This window comes from Homo sapiens, chromosome 5, assembly GCF_000001405.40.
Source record: "Homo sapiens chromosome 5, GRCh38.p14 Primary Assembly".
NCBI classification, from domain to species: domain Eukaryota; kingdom Metazoa; phylum Chordata; class Mammalia; order Primates; family Hominidae; genus Homo; species Homo sapiens.
Window position 1 is genome coordinate 87,046,937 of NC_000005.10, and position 18,732 is coordinate 87,065,668.

The following is an 18,732-nucleotide window of genomic DNA, read 5'->3' on the forward strand; positions in this document are numbered from 1 at the left end:
ATTATTCTTTCATAAATGATAGTTAATAAAGAATAAGCATCTTGCATTTATGTTTTCAGAAGGACTTATAATAATATTTAAGCAAACATGCTCATCAACAGAGAGAAATAAGTGTCTGAAGAACAGTCCCACAGGAAAATCATTTTTTAAATAAATTTTATCCTTTTATGACAGCCATTTTAGTACCATATATCTTAAAAATTAAAATAATTACTCTGAAAATGCCCTACTGCCCATTAGTTGTGGTGGCGATACTTTAGAACCACTATGAATATCATCAGCAGAAGGCTTGTGCTTCCACAAAACCGAATATCATGCAGATATTAAAAGAGTAAGTCAGCCGGGTGCCTAGATTCCTGTATTCAAGGGCAGGAAGCATCCAGCACAGGAGAAAGATGTAGGCTGGGAAGCTAGGCCAGTCTCACTTTTTCATATTTTTCTGCCTGCTTTATATTCACTGGCAGCTGATTACATTGTGCCCACAAGATTAAGGGTGGGTCTGCCTTCCCCAGCCCACTGACTCAAATGTTAATCTCCTTTGACAACACCCTCACAGACACACCCAGGATCAATACTTTGCATCCTTCAATCCAATCAAGTTGACACTCATACACATCTCATACACATCTCCTGAAATCATACATAATCTTTAAATAAAGAAAATAATAAGGTCATAATTAGGCCTAACATAATACAACTATCTTTAGTACAACCGGAAACACACCAATCCCCCAACTCAAATACTATTATGTAAAGTTAACAATACTTCAATTCTGAAATGAAATCAATAAATCTTATGTCACATGATGAAGTCAAAGGAAATAAAATGAAGATATTTTCTTAGTACAGCTGTATACATCTACAAACATGATTTTAACAAAAGGAGGAAATACTCATGACAGTTACAGTCCTCATTTCTGCAGCTGGTCATGTGGTTCTAGCAGGTATTGATAACTATCTTCTTCTACTACCCATTCTGCATTCCCTTTGCCTTCAGCAAGCACCTCAGCAGGTCATATTTTTTTCCTGGTATAGTGACCCAAACCTTCATTCCTGAGGGGTCTGGACCATTTGTAGTCCTTCCTGGATTGAGTTATTGTAGTTTCCCGTTGACCTTAAACACAGGGCATGGTAATACTAAGAGATGCCCTAATGGATCTCCTGTATTCCATGTATACTCTTCCTTACCTCTGTTTTGGAGCAGTAGACTGATTTCATCTTGATGATCTGGGTCAGTCACCCCAGCCAACAGTGTAACTCCCTTTTTAGCCTGTTGACTTAAAGGTAGGAGGATCCCAAAGTGTCCAGGTGGCAATCTTTAACTACCAGTTTAATGGAATCATTGTTTTGTCTCCTGGTGGCACTATTCCTCCATCTGGAACTAAGACCTATAGGCCAGCAGAATGTAATGTCACAGGAACATGAAACAAAAATTTTGCTATTGGAACACTAGGGGTGATGGTGAGTGGTGCCACTTCCACTTGCAGCCCTTGATTCCTGGACCCATGAATCCTGTCTATGGGAGAAACAGTACCATATACTGGACACTAATTCAGAGCATACACGGCCTTCTGGAGAACTTTGCCCCAGCCCTGCAAAGTAATGTCACTGTACACTGTTGGCACTGTAATTGTGACTTCAAAAGGCCATTCCACTGTTCTGTCAATCTAGCTGTTTCAGGATGATGAGGAACATGGTAAAACCAGTGAATTCCATGAGCATGAGCCCACTGCTGCACTTCTTTAGCTGTAAAGTGAGTGTCTTGGTCAGAGGCAATGCTGTGTGGAATACCATGATAGTGGATAAGTATCGGGGGAACCAGCCCCCAATATTTCAACATAGGTTCTTTTCTATTTTCCCTAAGTGTCAGCTGGTCTGAGAAATAAAGGGAAAGAGTACAAAAGAGAGAAATTTTAAAGCTGAGTGTCCGGGGGAGATGTCACATGTCGGCAGATTCTGTGATGCCCCCTGAGCCACAAAACCAGCAAGTTTTTATTATGGATTTCAAAAGGGGAGGGGTGTACGAATAGGGTGTGGGTCACAGAAATCACATGCTTCAAGGGCAACAAAATATCACAAGGCAAATGGGCAGGGCAAGGTCAGAAGGCCAGGGCAAAATTAGAATTACTGATAAGGTACCCTGTCCCACTGTGCATGCATTGTCATTGATAAACATCTTAACAGGAAACAGGGTTCAAGAGCAGAGAACCAGTCTGACTAGAATTTCGCCAGGCTGGAATTTCCCAATCCTAACAAGCCTGGGGGTGCTGTAGGAGACCAGGGTACATTTCATCCCTTATCTACAACTGCATAAGACAGACACTCCCAGAGCGGCCATTTTAGGGGCCTGTCAGTGGGAGTGCATTCTTTTCCCAGGGCTGTTCCTTGCTGAGAAAAAGAATTCAGTGATATTTCTCTTATTCGCTTTTGCAAGAAGAGAAATATGACTCTGTTCTGCCCCGCCCCGCCCCGCAGGCAGTCAGACTTTATGGTTATTTCCCTTGTTCCCTGAAAATCACTGTTATCCTGTTCTTTTAGGATGCCCAGATTTCATATTGTTCAAACACGCATGTTTTACAAACAACTTATACAGATAACATAATCATCACAGGGTCCTGAGGTGACATACATCCTTACTTTACAAAGATGATGGGATTAAGAGATTAAAGTAAAGACAGGCATAGGAAATTATAAGAGTATTGATTGAGAAGTCAGAAATGTCCATGAAATCTTCACAATTTATGTTCAGAGACTGCAGTAAAGACAGGCATAAGAAATTATAAAAGTATTAATTTAGGGAATTAATAAATGTCCATGAAATCTTCACAATTTATGTTCTTCTGCTGTGGCTTCACCCAGTCCCTCTATTCAGGGTCCCTGACTTCCCACAACAGATAATGCATTCCATGAATCCATGGATGGAGTCTTGGCAGAAACATTGCATGCAGGATAGGCAAACCCATATCCAGAGTAAGTGTCTGTTCCAGTGAGGACAAACCTCTGCCCTTGCTATGATGGAAGAGATCCAATATAATCAACCTGCCACCAGGTAGCTGGCTGATCACTCTGAGGAATGGCGCCATATCGAGGGTTCAGTGTTGGTATCCGCTGCTGGCAAATTGGGCACTCAGCAGTGGCGGTAGCCAGGTCAGCCTTGGTGAGTGGAAGTCCATGTTGCTGAGCCCATGTGTAACCTCCATCCTTGCCACCATGACCACATAGTTCATGGGTCCACTGGGGAATAAGAGAGGTGGCTGGGGAAAGAGGCTGAGTGATGTCCACAGAACAGGTCATCCTATCCACTTGATTATTGAAATCCTCCTCCGCCAAGGTCACCCATTGGTGAGCACTCACATGAGATACAAATATCTTCAGTTTTCAATCACTCAGAAAGGTCCATCCACTTACCTCTTCCCCAAATTTCTTTGTCACCAATTTTCCAATCATACTTCTTCCAAGTCCCTGACCATACAGCCAAACCACTGGCTACAGCCAATGAATCAGTATATAATCGCACATCTGGACATTTCTCCTTCCAGGCAAAGTACACAACCAGGTGCACTGCTCGAAATTCTGCCCACTGGGAAGATTTCCCTTCACTGCTGTCCTTCAGGGATGTCCTAGAAAAGGGTTGTAATGCAGTGGTCTACTTTCAGGTAGTGCCTGCATATCATGCAGAATCATCTGTGAACCAGGCCTTAGTCTTCTCTTCCTCTGTCAACTAATCATAGGGAACTCCCCATGAAGCCACTGGTGCAGGCTAGGGGAGAGGAGGCAGGGTGGCAGGAGTGGAGACCATGGGCATTTGAGCCACTTCTTCATGTAACTTATTTGTGCCTTCAGGACCTTCTCAAGCCCGATCAAGTATACTTTCATTTGATGATGGAATGCTGCTGTGCATGACCCACTTTATGGCTAGATAGGTCAGAAAGCACCCAGTTCATGATAGGTAGTTCAGGTTGCATGGTGACTTGATGATCCATAGTCAAACATTCGGTTTCCACCAAAGCCCAGTAACAGACCAATAGCTGTGTGTCAAAAGGAGAGTAGTTATCTGCAGAAGATGGCAGGGCCTTGCTCCAAAATTTTAGAGGCCTCCCCTGTAATTCACCGATGGAGGCCTGCCAAAGGCTCCAAACAGCATCCCTATCTGCCACTGACACCTCAAGCACCATTGGGTCTGCTGGGTCATATGCCCCAAGTAGCAGAGCAGCTTGCACAGCAGCATGGACCTGTTGCAGAGCCTTCTCCTGTTCCGGACCCCACTCAAAACTGGCAGCCTTTTGGGTCACTTGATAAATGGGCCGGAGTAACACACGCAGATGAGGCATGTGTTGCCTCCAAAATCCAAATAGACCCACTAGACATTGTGCCTCTTTCTTAGTTTTAGGAGGGGCCAAATGCAGCAACTTATCCTTCACCTTAGAAGGAATATTTTGACAGGCCCCACACCACTGGACCCCTAGACATTTTACTGAGGTAAATCCCTGTATTTTAGTTGGATTTATTTCTCATCCTCTGGCAGCCAAATGTCTCACCAATAAGTCTAGTGTGTTTGCTACTTCTTGCTCACTGAATCCAATCAGCATAATGCCATCAATCTAATGGACCAGTGTGATATCTTGAGGAAGCAAAAAGCCATCAACATCTCTCCAAATAAGATTATGACACAAAGCCAGAGAGTTGATATACCCCTGAGGTAGGATAGTAAAAGTATATTGCTGGCCTTGCCAGCTGAAGGCAAATTGCTTCTGGTGGGCCTTATGGACAGGAATGGAGAAGAAGGCATTTGCAAGTCAATGGCTGCATACCAGGTAACAGGAGATGTGTTAATTTGCTCAAGCAATGCAACCACATCTGGTACAGCAACATATTATTCAATGACAAAAAGCTAAAAGCTTTTCCCCTAAGAAATGGGAGTAGACAATGATGCCTACTCTTATCACTCTTAGCATATACTGGAAGTCCTAGCCAGAGCAATTAGGCAAGAGAGAGAAATAAAGAGCATCGAATTTGAAAGGAGGAAGTCGAATTCTTCCTGTTTGCAGGCAACGTATCATATATATAGCAAAACCTAAAGACTCTACAAAAAAACCCTCTTAGAACTGATAAGCAAATTCAATAAATTTGCAGGATACAAAATTAATATTCAAAAAACAAAATTCAAAATTAATATTCAAAGAAATCTTTCTATACGTAAATAAAGAACTAGCTGAAAAAGAAATCAAGAAGGCAGTGCCATTTACAATAGCTACCAAAAAATAAAATAAAATACCTAGGAATAAATTTAACCAAGGAGGTGAAAGACCTCTACAAGGAAAACTGAAAAACACTGATGAGAGAAATTGAAGAGGATACAAACAAATAGAAAGGCATCCCACGCTCAAGGATCAGAAGGACTAATATTGTTAAATGACAATACTAACCAAAACAATCTATAGATTTAATTCAATTCCTATCAAAATGTCAATGACATTCTTCATAGAAATAGAAAAAAATCCCTAAAACTTGTACAGAAGCACAAAAGACTGAATAGCCAAAGCAACCCTGAGCAAACAGAACAAAGAAGGAGATATCACACTACCAGACCTCAAAATATACTACAATGCTGAAGTAACAAAACCAGCATGGCACTGGCAGAAAAACACAGAGACCAATAGAACAGAATAAAGACCCCCAAAATTAATTAAACCATATATCTACAGCCGACTGATTTTTGACAGGGGTGCCAAGAATACTCATTGGGGAAAGGACGTTCTCTTAAATAAATGGTGCTGGGAAAACTATCTATATACAGATGAATGAAACTAGTTCCCTACTTCTCCCCATATCCAAAAATAAACCCTAAATTGATCAAAGACCTAAATGTAAGACTTAAAACAGTAAAACTACTGGAAGAAAACATAAATGAAATGCTTCAAGACATGAGTCTGAAAAAAGATTTTATTAGAGCACGGGCAACAAAAGCAAGAAATAAACAAATGGGATTATATTAAACTAAGAGGCTTCTCCACAGAAGAAAAAAATCAGTTGAGTGAAAAGACAACCCATGGAATGGGAGAAAATATTTGCAAACTACTCATCCAACAGGGAATTAATATACAAAATATACAAGGAACTCAGACATCTCAATGGCAGAAAAAGAATGACCAATTAATCTGAACAGACATTTCTCAAAAGAAGACATGCAAATGGGGAACAAATGTTTGATAAAATGCTTAACATCACTAATCAGGAAAATGCAAATCAAAACCACAATAATGTTGTGGTGTATCATCTCACCCCAGTTAGAATGGCTATTATCAAAAACAAAAAATAACAAATGCTGGCGAGAATGTGGAGAAAAGGGAACTCAACACACTGCTGGTGTGAAGTAAACTAGTACAGCTACTATGGAGAATAGTAAGGAGGTTCCTCAAAAAACTACAAATAGAATTTCCATATGATATAGCAATCCCACTACTGTGCATTTATCTAAAGAAAAGGAAATTACTGTGTCACAAGAGACATCTGCACCCCCGTGTTTATTACAGCACTATTTACAATAGCCAAGATAAGATACCATCATAGGTGTCAAGCAACAGATGAAAGGATTTTTTATTTTTTTTGAGACAGAGTCTCACTCTGTCGCCCAGGCTGGAGTGCAGTGGTGTGATCTCGGCTCACTGCAAGCTCTGCCTCCTGGGTTCAGGCCATTCTCCTGCCTCAGCCTCCCGAGTAGCTGGGACTACAGGCGCCCACGACCACGCCCGGCTAATTTTTTGTATTTTTTAGTAGAGACGGGGTTTCATCATGTTAGCCAAGATGGTCTTGATCTCCTGACCTCGTGATCCACCCACATTGGCCTCCCAAAGTGCTAGGATTACAGGCGTGAGCCACCGCGCCCAGCAGATGAAAGGAGTTTTTTGAGACGAAGTCTCGCTCTGTCACCTAGGCTGGAGTGCAGTGGCGCAATCTCGGCTCACTGCAAGCTCCGCCTCCTGGATTCACGCCATTCTCCTGCCTCAGCCTCCCGAGCAGCTGGGACTACAGGCGCCCCCCACCACACCCGGCTAATTTTTGTATTTTTTGTAGAAACAGGGTTTCACCATATTGGCCAGGCTGGTCTCGAACTCCTAACCTCAGGTGATCCACCTGCCTTGGCCTCCCAAAGTGCTGGGATTATAGTCATGAGCCACTGTGCCTGGCAAAAATTTATAGTTTAAAATTAAAAATTTAAAAATAATTTAGAAGCATATCATTATTATTATAAATACTTGGAATGATGGCATGTTTGTATACTCAGCTAGCTTTCTAACCAGATATCATTGATGTATTCTATATATCAAAATGAAATTCACTAGGATTTTGCTAATTCCTTACATGATTGTTAAGGCTAAAATGCAATCTGTTATTAAAATGACATCATGTCAGTTCTGTTTCTCAAAACTAAATTTAAAGAAGTTTCCCTTTAGGCATATTCTGATTGACATGTGGTTGAATTATTTCTAAAGAACATTCATTCATATGCAACAACAATTTTATTCAGATCCTGAAACTTAAAATTTTGTCATGGCCTTTTAATGGAGGATCTTCCTTTTAAATGTCTGATAAAGATTATAAGAAAACACAGTCCTGACCAGTGAACATGAACCCTTAGACTATTTGGAGAAACATGGCTGAACACCCTAAAGTTGGACGGTTGTGAAAACCCATCAGAACTGTAGATAGCACATTAGGCAGCAAATGTGGGAAGGAAAAATGATCCAGCTCCACTTTTAGGAGGTTTTCAAAACATTTCAACTGTAAATGAATTGAGTGGACCATGAAACTGATAAAATATCTAGGTTGTCATCTTCATTTTGGGTTACATGGATCATGATTTTTTCAATTAGTAGGCAAAGATCAAGCATCTCCATGTAAGTAACAGCCTTCTGTGTTCTGGTCTCCTTCCCACCTCTCTACCACCTCCAACCCCTACTGAGTACTAAATTTTGCTGATATTTTCAAAAAGATCACAACTTTTATGCATGTTTCTTTTCTTATTTGGTGGAATCACTTCCTATTTTGACAATTCAAGAAGTAAATGATAATGTGACCCATTTCCCTAAAATCAAGGCCTCCATTTTGCATAACACAATGAGAATTTTAAACAGGAAAGGGAAAAGGAAGAATTTAATTAGTAGGGAAGTTTGAAAATATACTTTAAAGAATATACAGGAAAGGAATAAGGGCATTTGACATCCTCTAGAGATCTTTTCTATATAACTAATGCATATGAGAAAAGCAGATGTTACCAATGGAAAATGTGAAACTGAAACACTCCATACTTACCAACCAAAATCACAGAGAATGCTTCCTAGGGACCAGGATATTTCTCTGTCAGGAGAGGTCTCTAGAAATCCAAAAAACTGTCAATAATCATTCAGTACAAAGACAATGATAGTGGGTCTAGGAATACATATTTAGAGAATTAGTTTCTCTGAAAGGAAGGCTGAAGATCATGTTAGGACTTTGAAATGAGTCTAAGTCAATATTAGAGTAGACCCAGATTTATTTTCAATAATTATATCTCTCCAATTTACATTAAGATTCTATAGCCTTGAAATGACCAGGACCCAGGTGATCCAAGATCTTTAGATCACTTCAAAACCTCGTCTGATTCTGCACTAGCCTCCTTTGGGCCAAAAAAACATTGGTCTAGTAATTGCTTCCTTGTCATAGTTCTATTTTCAACATGGAGAGTAAAGGACATGTGTGACCATAGTACAATTATACTTGATAAGTTGTTCTCCCATACAAGTTGGTTCCAAAGGTAAAGGATGAAAGGCATAATGTCCACAATCTCTGAGCATCTGAAAAGTATGAAGAAGTGAATTCCTAACACATATAAAAATGCATTGTCTTCAAATTGAGTGATGGGTTTTAAAGTTCGGGAAACAGGAAAGAAAGTTTAAAAATCTATTATACTTACTTGTATTTCTTTACTTCTTACATTAAACGACTGGGAAATAAAGAATTATTAGAACTGGGCTGGGCGCGGTGGCTCACGCCTGTAATCCCAGCAATTTGGGAGGCCGAGGCAGGCGGATCACCTGAGGTCAGGAGTTCACAACCTGGCCAACATAGTGAAACCCCGTCTCTACTAAAAGAACAAAAATTAGCCAGGTGAGGTGGCAGGCACCTGTAATCCCAGCTACTCAGGAGCCTGAGGCAGGAGAATCGCTTGAACCACGGAGGCGGAGGTGGAGGTGGAGGCGGGGGTTGCAGTGAGCCAAGATCACACTACTGCAGTCCAGCCTGGGTGAAAAGAACAAGACTCCATCTCAAAAAAAAAAAAAAAAATTATTAGAACTGGCTTATATACAAGAAATTTTTAAAGCATACAAATGTAAATGGGATTTAATACTATTCACAGCTTCCTTCCATAATGTCAAAAAGCAGTCTTCTTTCCTTGTACCCAGAAAAACTGCCATTTTAAACTGCAAAATAATTATGAACATTTATTCAAACTGTTTAAATATGAATACTTATGAACCATCATCATTCTATTGTATTGTTTATCAATCAAGATTCTATAATGTTTCCAAAATAGTCTTGGAAATAACCAGGTGGGCTGAGACCTATCATTATTAGAACAGGAGCAAACTGAGCTGATACTTAAGTTGATTGTGCCTATTTGCATGGCCATGATGTTGACTATTTGTTAAATGCCTACTTGTATCAGACATTGTTTTAGGTACATTGTTTTAATGCTATAAATATCTCATTTAATACTGAAAATTGGAACACCAATTAACTTGTCAAAAATAACACAGCTAGTATGTAGCAGAACCTAGATTCAAACTCAGATCAGTCTGCCTCTAAAGCCTACACCCTGTCTCCTAAATTGGGTTGCCTTCTAAGGTAATTTGTTTAACAAATGCTGAAAGAACTAGTCCCTTTTCTGTATACATATTGATAGCATCTTATAGATAATGAGAACCCCCAGTGTATTGTTACTAACAGTCACTCAAAAAACATTCCCTGAATGAATGAATGAATGAATGGTCAACTAACTCATCTCCACAATCAGGCAGGTCATTCTCAACTTAAAAAATATGATTTTCTTTAATTTAATTAGATCCCATTTGTCAATTTTGGCTTTTGTTGCCATTGCTTTTGGTGTTTTAGACATGAAGTCCTTGCCCATGCCTATGTCCTGAATGGTAATGCCTAGGTTTTCTTCTAGGGTTTTTATGGTTTCAGGTCTAACGTTTAAGTCTTTAATCCATCTTGAATTAATTTTTGTATAAGGTATAAGGAAGGGATCCAGTTTCAGCTTTCTACATATGGCTAGCCAGTTTTCCCAGCACCATTTATTAAATAGGGAATCCTTTCCCCGTTGCTTGTTTTTCTCAGGTTTGTCAAAGATCAGATAGTTGCAGATATGCGGCATTATTTCTGAGGGCTCTGTTCTGTTCCCTTGATCTATATCTCTGTTTTGGTACCAGTACCATGCTGTTTTGGTTACTGTAGCCTTGTAGTATAGTTTGAAGTCAGGTAGCGTGATGCCTCCAGCTTTGTTCTTTTGGCTTAGGGTTGACTTGGTGATGTGGGCTCTTTTTTGGTTCCATATGAACTTTAAAGTAGTTTTTTCCAATTCTGTGAAGAAAGTCATTGGTAGCTTGATGGGGATGGCATTGAATCTATAAATTCCCTTGGGCCGTATGGCCATTTTCACGATATTGATTCTTCCTACCCATGAGCATGGAATGTTCTTCCATTACTTGGTATCCTCTTTTATTTCATTGAGCAGTGGTTTGTAGTTCCTTGAAGAGGTCCTTCACGTCCCTTGTAAGTTGGATTCACAGGCATTTTATTCTCTTTGAAGCAATTGCGAATGGGAGTTCACTCATGATTTGGCTCTCTGTTTGTCTGTTATTGGTGTATAAGAATGCTTGGGATTTTTGTACATTGATTTTGTATCCTGAGACTTTGCTGAAGTTGCTTATCAGCTTAAGGAGATTTTGGGCTAAGACAATGGGGTTTTCTAGATATACCATCATGTCATCTGCAAACAGGGACAATTTGACTTCCTCTTTTCCTAATCGAATACCCTTTATTTCCTTCTCCTGCCTAATTGCCCTGGCCAGAACTTCCAACACTATGTTGAATAGGAGTGGTGAAAGAGGGCATCCCTGTCTTGTGCCAGTTTTCAAAGGGAATGCTTCCAGTTTTTGCCCATTCAGTATGATATTGGCTGTGGGTTTTTCTTAGATAGCTCTTATTATTTTGAGATACGTCCCATCAATACCTAATTTATTGAGAGTTTTTAGCATGAAGCGTTGTTGAATTTTGTCAAAGGCCTTTTCTGCATCTATTAAGATAATCATGTGACTAAAGAGCTTCTGCACAGCAAAAGAAACTACCATCAGAGTGAACAGGCAACCTACAAAATGGGAGAAAATCTTCGCAACCTACTCATCTGACAAAGGGCTAATATCCAGAATCTACAATGAACTCAAACAAATTTACAAGAAAAAAACAAACAACCCCATCAAAAAGTGGGCGAAGGACATGAACAGACACTTCTCAAAAGAAGACATTTATGCAGTGAAAAAACACATGAAAAAATGTTCACCATCACTGGCCATCAGAGAAATGCAAATCAAAACCACAATGAGATACCATCTCACACCAGTTAGAATGGCAATCATTCAAAAGTCAGGAAACAACAGGTGCTGGAGAGGATGTGGAGAAATAGGAACACTTTTACACTGTTGGTGGGACTGTAAACTAGTTCAACCATTGTGGAAGTCAGTGTGGCGATTCCTCAGGGATCTAGAACTAGAAATACCATTTGACCCAGCCATCCCATTACTGGGTATATACCCAAAGGATTACAAATCATGCTGCTATAAAGACACATGCACACGTATGTTTCTTGGGGCACTATTCACAATAGCAAAGACTTGGAACCAACCCAAATGTCCAACAATGATAGACTGGATTTAGAAAATGTGGCACATATACACCATGGAATACTATTCAGCCATAAAAAATGATGAGTTCATGTCGTTTGTAGGGACATGGATGAAATTGGAAATCATCATTCTCAGTAAACTATCGCAAGGACAAAAAACCAAACACCTCATGTTCTCACTCATAGGTGGGAATTGAACATTGAGAACACATGGACACAGGAAGGGGAACATCACACTCTGGGGACTGTTGTGGGGTGGGGGGAGGAGGAAGAGATAGCATTAGGAGATATACCTAATGCTAAATGAAGAGTTAATGGGTGCAGCACACCAGCATGGCACATGTATACATATGTAACTAACCTGCACGTTGTGCACATGTACCCTAAAACTTAAAGTATAATAATAATAAAATAAAATAAAATAATATGATTTTCATATTTTATATAAAATACATATTTTCTATTTTAAATAAATATAAAATATGTATTTTTAAAACATCTTTAGGGAAGCATAATCCACAATTTCACTTGGCAATCAACTATTTTCATTTTAAAAAGTAATTTTCAGTGTCTACAAAACTAACATTAATAGCTTTATACACTAAAATTATGAAACAAGTGAAGCCTGTCAGTTCAGTATGAAATAAAACAGTGAAATCATTTCTTTTATTCTTATAAGCAAACAAGTAAAACACGGAGTTGGATAAATGAAAACATTTCTTAGAAATATAAAATTTAACGTTGATTCCTTTTTCTAATAAAAATCTAACTTAGGCCAGGCGTGGTGGCTCACTCCTGTAATCCCAACATTTTGGGAGGCTGAGGTGAGTGGATCACCTGAGGTTAGGAGTTCCAGACCAGCCTGGCCAACATGGTAAAATCCTGTCCCTACTAAAAATACAAAATTAGTCGTCTGTGGTGGTGCATGCCTGTAATCCAAGCTACTTGGGAGGCTGAGGCAGGAGAGTCACTTGAACCTGGGAGGCGGAGTTTGCAGTGAGCTGGGATGGTGCCACTGCACTCCAGCCTGGGCAACAAGAGTGAAACTCCATCTCAAAAAAATAAAAATAAAAAAAATCTATTAAATCTTTGTATTTTCATTTGGATTAATGAAATTTTCTCTTCCTCCAAGGTTGTGAAACAAACTGTCTATTTTGTTTCTGTTTTTGTTTTTTTTTTTTTTTTCTTTTGAGATGGAGTCTCGCCCTGACACCAGGCTGGAGTGCAGTGATGCAATCTTGGCTCACTGCAATCTCCGCCTCCCGGGTTCAAGCAATTCTCCTGCCTCAGCCTCCCAAGTAGCTGGAACTACAAGCACGTGCCATCATGCCCAGCTAATTTTTGTATTTTTAGTAGAGACAGGGTTTCACCATGTTGGCCAGGATGATCTCGATCTCTTGACCTCATGATCCGCTCACCTCGGCCTCCCAAAGTGCTGGGATTACAGGCATGAGCCACTGTGCCTGGCCCAAACTGTCTATTTTCTGAATATGTTTCAGCCCTTCTGATGATATAGAACTCTGGAAATCTACAATGAGTAGAAAGATAAGTATTGAATTCATGTATCTTATAGAATGATCTACTTATAAAGTCAATATTTTACAATGTAAACTACAAGCATTTCAGCCGTATGCTGAGCCACCTAAAATCAACACTCCTTTGAAGCCCACAGAATTTCTCACCTCCTTTAAAAAAAAAAGAAGCGCATTACCAAGAACAGGTCATCATAAATAGAATCATCTTAGGCTGGGAAAGATGGCTCACGCCTGTAATCCCAGCACTTAGGGAGGCCGAGGCAGGTGGATCACTTGAGGCCAGGAGTTTGAGACCAGCCTGGCCAGTGTAATGAAACCCCATCTCTACTAAAAATACAAAAATTAGCTGGGCATGGTGGCGCACACATGCAGTCCCAGCTACTTGGGAGGCTGAGGCATGAGAATCGCTTGAACCCAAGAGGCAGAGGCTACAGTGAGCCAAGATCACACCACTGCCCTCCAGCCTGGGCAACAGAGTGAGATTCTGTCTCAAAAAAAAAAAAAAAAACAAAACAAACAAAACAACAACAACAACAAAAACAATAAGCTTAAACCTAAATAAGAAAAATATTATTCAATGATTCACTTTTAAGTCAGCAACTCAAAAAGTGCTTCATATATTTTCAGCCACTGCATGCTGCATTATGCCACAACTTGGAAGTGTTCAATGTAGAACAATTGACAGAAACAGCTCTCTCATCCAAACATAACAGTTTTCCATTAAAGATAAATAAACTCTAAACTTTCACCTAGATCTTTCTTCAGAGGTAGACTGTGTTGTGATATGGAGCGCTCCACACATGCTCACCCTTAAAATATGCTCAGATGCTGCCCCCTCAGAGAAGTCTCCCTGACTACCCACACACCCAATCCTCCAAGCAAACTATTCACTCTTTTCTCTGATGCTGAAGATGTTTTGCCAGGACACTTATTTCATTATGTTGTAATCAGTTTGTTGTTTTTTTTTTTTTTTTTACTATACTGTGAAATTTTTGACTGGTAAAATGATATCTTAGTCACTGTTCAATATTTAAAGATAAAATTTTCTTATTAGCATTATCTTCTCCAAACTAAATGTATCCACTACTTCTCATCACTCCATGCATAAAGGTTTTCCAAATCCCTTAAATAACCTGGCCACCCTCCCCTGAATGCTTTTTGCTTAGTAAATGTCCCCATGACTCAAAAATAACATTCAACATTGGAGCCAAATCTATTTATCTGAAGCAGACCTACACAGCTCTCCAGAGTTTATGCCATTGTGATCCCTTGTATGTAAAACCAACTTATAACACGTTTCTGTAAACAACTAAGCATCTGGGATAGTGTATAAGGTAGATTAAGTCATTCAACAGGCATATATTAAGTAGCACAATGTACCAGGCACTGGACTAGGAGCTGAGGATCCTACCATAGTCACATCAAGGAGGCATTTCTTGTGTAGCTTCCCAGCATGTATTAACACTCTGTCACACATAAATGGGGGTTTCATAAACAACTACTTTTGGTATGCTATTGGTTATATCAATATTAACAGACTTCTTTTTTTAAGACCTTTTGCAAATTCTAATATATAAATTGTGACTCTCTAAGACTAAGAATATAATATGCAGCATTTCCCAAATATTTGATCACACCACACTGTTTTCACAATGCATCTTGAAGAAGCATCTCCTGAGAATACTTTATACAGTACCTTCTAGAATCTATACAGGAGTAAGCAGATCATTGTGGTCTAGGGAAATAAGAGCAAAGGAAGTACCCCAGGGTGAGATGCAAGTAAAGTACAAAGGTGGGATGCAAGTACAGGGGATGTAAGGGAAAGCTTCTAGAGAGAAGAGATACTCAATACAGATCTCCAAGGACACATCTGAGTAAGTTAAGTGAAAAGAAGTCAGTGGTGAGGTTTTCAGAAAGACTTTTCAGGTATGGGCAAAGCCCAAAGGGGCTTACTATGCACAGTAGCATGTCATGGTCAGAATGGCAGTCACATCTACATTAGCTGGAGGAATCACACGAAAACATCATATTAAAAGAAATCATGAAAAATTTCATTAGAAGCCCTTAACTTCTAATGAGAATGTGACTGCTATCAGTCAGGAATTCTCCCTACTCCCAAACCTACTCTTCCAAAAGTATACAAAACCAAGAAGAATGAAAAATTGGAATTAAATAAAAACATTTTCAATGAAGCTAAAATACATATCATGTGTAGATCCCTAAATATAACTATGAGTTGCTAAAAACAATTAAGATTGGGAAGAAGTTAATAAAGGAGTTAAAAAGGAGTCAAATCACAGAAAGTGGAACCTGTCCACTGTTGTCTTGAGTCTCAAAAAGCACCAGCAAAAACACAGCTTTCTAAAAATTGAAGACATATTCTGAAATCTAAAAACTGTAATTCTTGTTTACAAGGATGTAGGAGCTGTGTTGAGCAAGGCAGGAAATGGCTTGATTTAGAGTAGCAAAATATGAGTGGCTCTAAAAAAAATCACATAAACAAGCCATATTTGCAGGAAGCTATCTGCTTCTGTGGCAGAAACTTGTGGAGAAATATTTTACACAGAGAATTATTCTGTGTGGTGATGACTCTCTCTACCTAACTGTAATGAGCTCTACAGAAAATAGCTGGTCTAGTGAAATACACACATTTAATAATAACTAAATTAATAAAAAAGAAACAAGTACAGGCATAACTCAGAGATATTGCAGGTTTGGTTCCAGATCATCACAATAAAGCAAGTCACATGAATTTTTTTGGCATCCCAGTGCATGTAAAAGTTATGTTTATACTATACTGTAGACCATTAAGTGTCCAGTAGCATTATGTATAAAAAACAACGTACATGCCATAATTTAAAAATAATTTATTGCTAAAAAAGCTAATAATCATCTTGGCCTTGAGTAAGTTGTAAGCTTTGTGCTGGTGGAGGGTCTTCTCTACTTTGATGGCTGCTGACTGACTACAGTGGTTGTTGCCTAAAGTTGAAGCATCCATGGCAATTTCTTAAAATAAGAAAACAATGAAGTTTGCTGCATCAATTGATTGTTCATTTCATGCAATATTTCTCTAGTATGCAATGCTGTTTGATAGCATTTTACCCACAGTAGAACTTCCTTCAAAATTGGAGTCAATCCTCTCAAGCCCTATCTCACTGCTCTATCAACTAAGTTTATGTACTATTCTATGTCCTTTGTTGTCGTTTCAACAATGCTCACAGCATCTTCACCAGAAGTAGATTCCATACCAAGAAACCTTTCTTTACACATCCATAAAAACCACTCCTCGTTTGTTCAAGTTTTATCCTGAGATTGCACCAATTTAGTCCCAAATTCAGGCTCTGCTTCTAATTCTAGTCTTCTTTACATCTCCACCACATCTTCAGTTACTTCATCGCACTGATGTCTTGAACCCCTCAAAATCATCTGTTAGGGTTGGAACCGTCTTCTTCTAAACTTCTGTTAATGTTGATATTTTGACCTCCTGCCATGAATTGTGAATGTTGTTAATGGCATCTAGAATGGTGAACTCTTTTGAAAAGACTTTCAATTGACTTTGCCCAGATTCATCAAAGGAATCACTAGGGCAGCTGAGCACTATGTAAAGTATTTCTTAAATAGCAAATCTGAAAGTCAAAATTACTCCTTGATCCATGAGCTGTAGAATGGATGCTGAATTAGCATCCATGAAAGCAACATTAATCTTCTGCACATCTCCATCAGACCTCTTGGGTAATCAAGTGCATTGTCAATGAGCAGTAATATTTTGAAAAGACTCTTATTCTGAGAAATAGGTCTCAATGGTGGGCTTAAAATATTCAGTAAACCATACTGTAAACAGATGGGCTCCCATCTAGAGTTTGTTTTTTCATTTATAGAGCACAGGAAGAGTAGAAACAGCATAATTCTTAAGGCCCTAGGATTTGCAGAATGGTCAATGAGCTTTGGCTTCAACTTAAAGTCACCAGTTGCATTAGCTCCTAACAACAGAGTCGGCCCATCCTTTGAAGCCAGTCATTGACTTCTCTCTAGCTTTGAAAGTCCTAGATGGCATCTTCTTGCAATAGAAGGCTGCTTTGTTTACATTGAAAATCTGCTGTTTAGTGTAGCCACCTTCATCAATGATCTTAGCTAACTCTTCTGGACAGCTTGCTACAGCTTCCACAGCAGCAGTTGCTGCTTCACCTTGCACTTCTAGGTTATGGAGACAGCTTCTTCCTTAGCCTATACTAGGTTTTAATCTTTGCTAGCTTCCTCACCTCTATCAGCCTTCATGGAATTGAAGAGAGTTGGAGACTTTCTCTGGATTAGGCTTTGGTTTAAGGAAATGTTGTGGCTGATTTGATCTTCTATTCAGACACAAAAACTTTTCTTCATATCAGTAATAAGCATGTATCACTTTCTTATTATTCATATGTTCACTGGAGTAGCACTTTAATTTCCTCCAAGAACTATTCCTTTGCATTCACAACTTGGCTAACCAATTGGTGCAAGAGGCCTAGCTTTCAAACCTGTCTCACCTTTCCACATGCCTTCCTCACTAATGTTAGTCATTTATAGCTTTTCATTTAAAATGAGAGATATGGTCGGGCGCAGTGGCTCACTCCTGTAATCTCAGAACTTTGGGAGGCCAAGGACCAGTGGATCACTTGAGGTCAGGAGATCGAGATCAGCTGGACCAACATGGTGAAACCCCATCTCTACTAAAAATACAAAAAAAAAAAAAAGCTGGGCATAGTGTTGGGCACCTGTAATCTCAGCTACTAGGGAAGCTGAGGCAGGAAAATTGCTTGAACCCAGGAGGTGGAGGTTGCAGTGAGCCGAGATAGTGCCACCGCACTCCAGCCTGGGCGACAGAGCAAGAATCTGTCTCAAAAATAAATAGATGGATTATAGATAGATAGATAGATAGATAGATAGATAGATAGATAGATAGATAGACAACTCTTCATTTCACTCAAACTCTTAGAGGCCATTGTGGCATTATTAATTGGCCTAATTTAATATTGTTGTGTCTCAGGGAATAGGGAGGCCTGAGGAGAGAGAGAGAGATGGGAAACAGCTGATTAGTGGAACTATCAGAACATGCACGTTTATAGATTCGTTTGATAAAGAACTTTTATAGATTAAGTTCTATAGAGAACATTTATAGATTAAGTTCTGTTAAGGTGGGTCCAGTTCATGGTGTCCCAAAACATTTGAAATATAATAGTAATATCAAAGATTACTGATCACAGATCACCATAACAGATA

At 39.3% G+C, this 18,732-nt stretch overlaps 2 long non-coding RNA genes across 2 annotated transcripts in view; both read right to left on the minus strand.

Moving 5' to 3' along the window:
* Positions 1-1,969: 1,969 nt before the first annotated feature.
* LOC645261 (PP565) lies at positions 1,970-9,306 on the minus strand. The gene is made up of 3 exons (NR_188227.1): positions 8,954-9,306; positions 8,314-8,374; positions 1,970-4,028 (listed from the first exon to the last, which is right to left on the minus strand). It is a non-coding gene; the product is annotated as a PP565 (long non-coding RNA).
* MIR4280HG (MIR4280 host gene) overlaps positions 1,970-18,732 on the minus strand; it is a 73,290-nt gene continuing 56,527 nt past the window's right edge. Inside the window, exon 2 of the long non-coding RNA NR_186582.1 lies at positions 1,970-4,028. This is a non-coding gene — a long non-coding RNA (MIR4280 host gene). The remainder of the gene's footprint in view (positions 4,029-18,732) is intronic.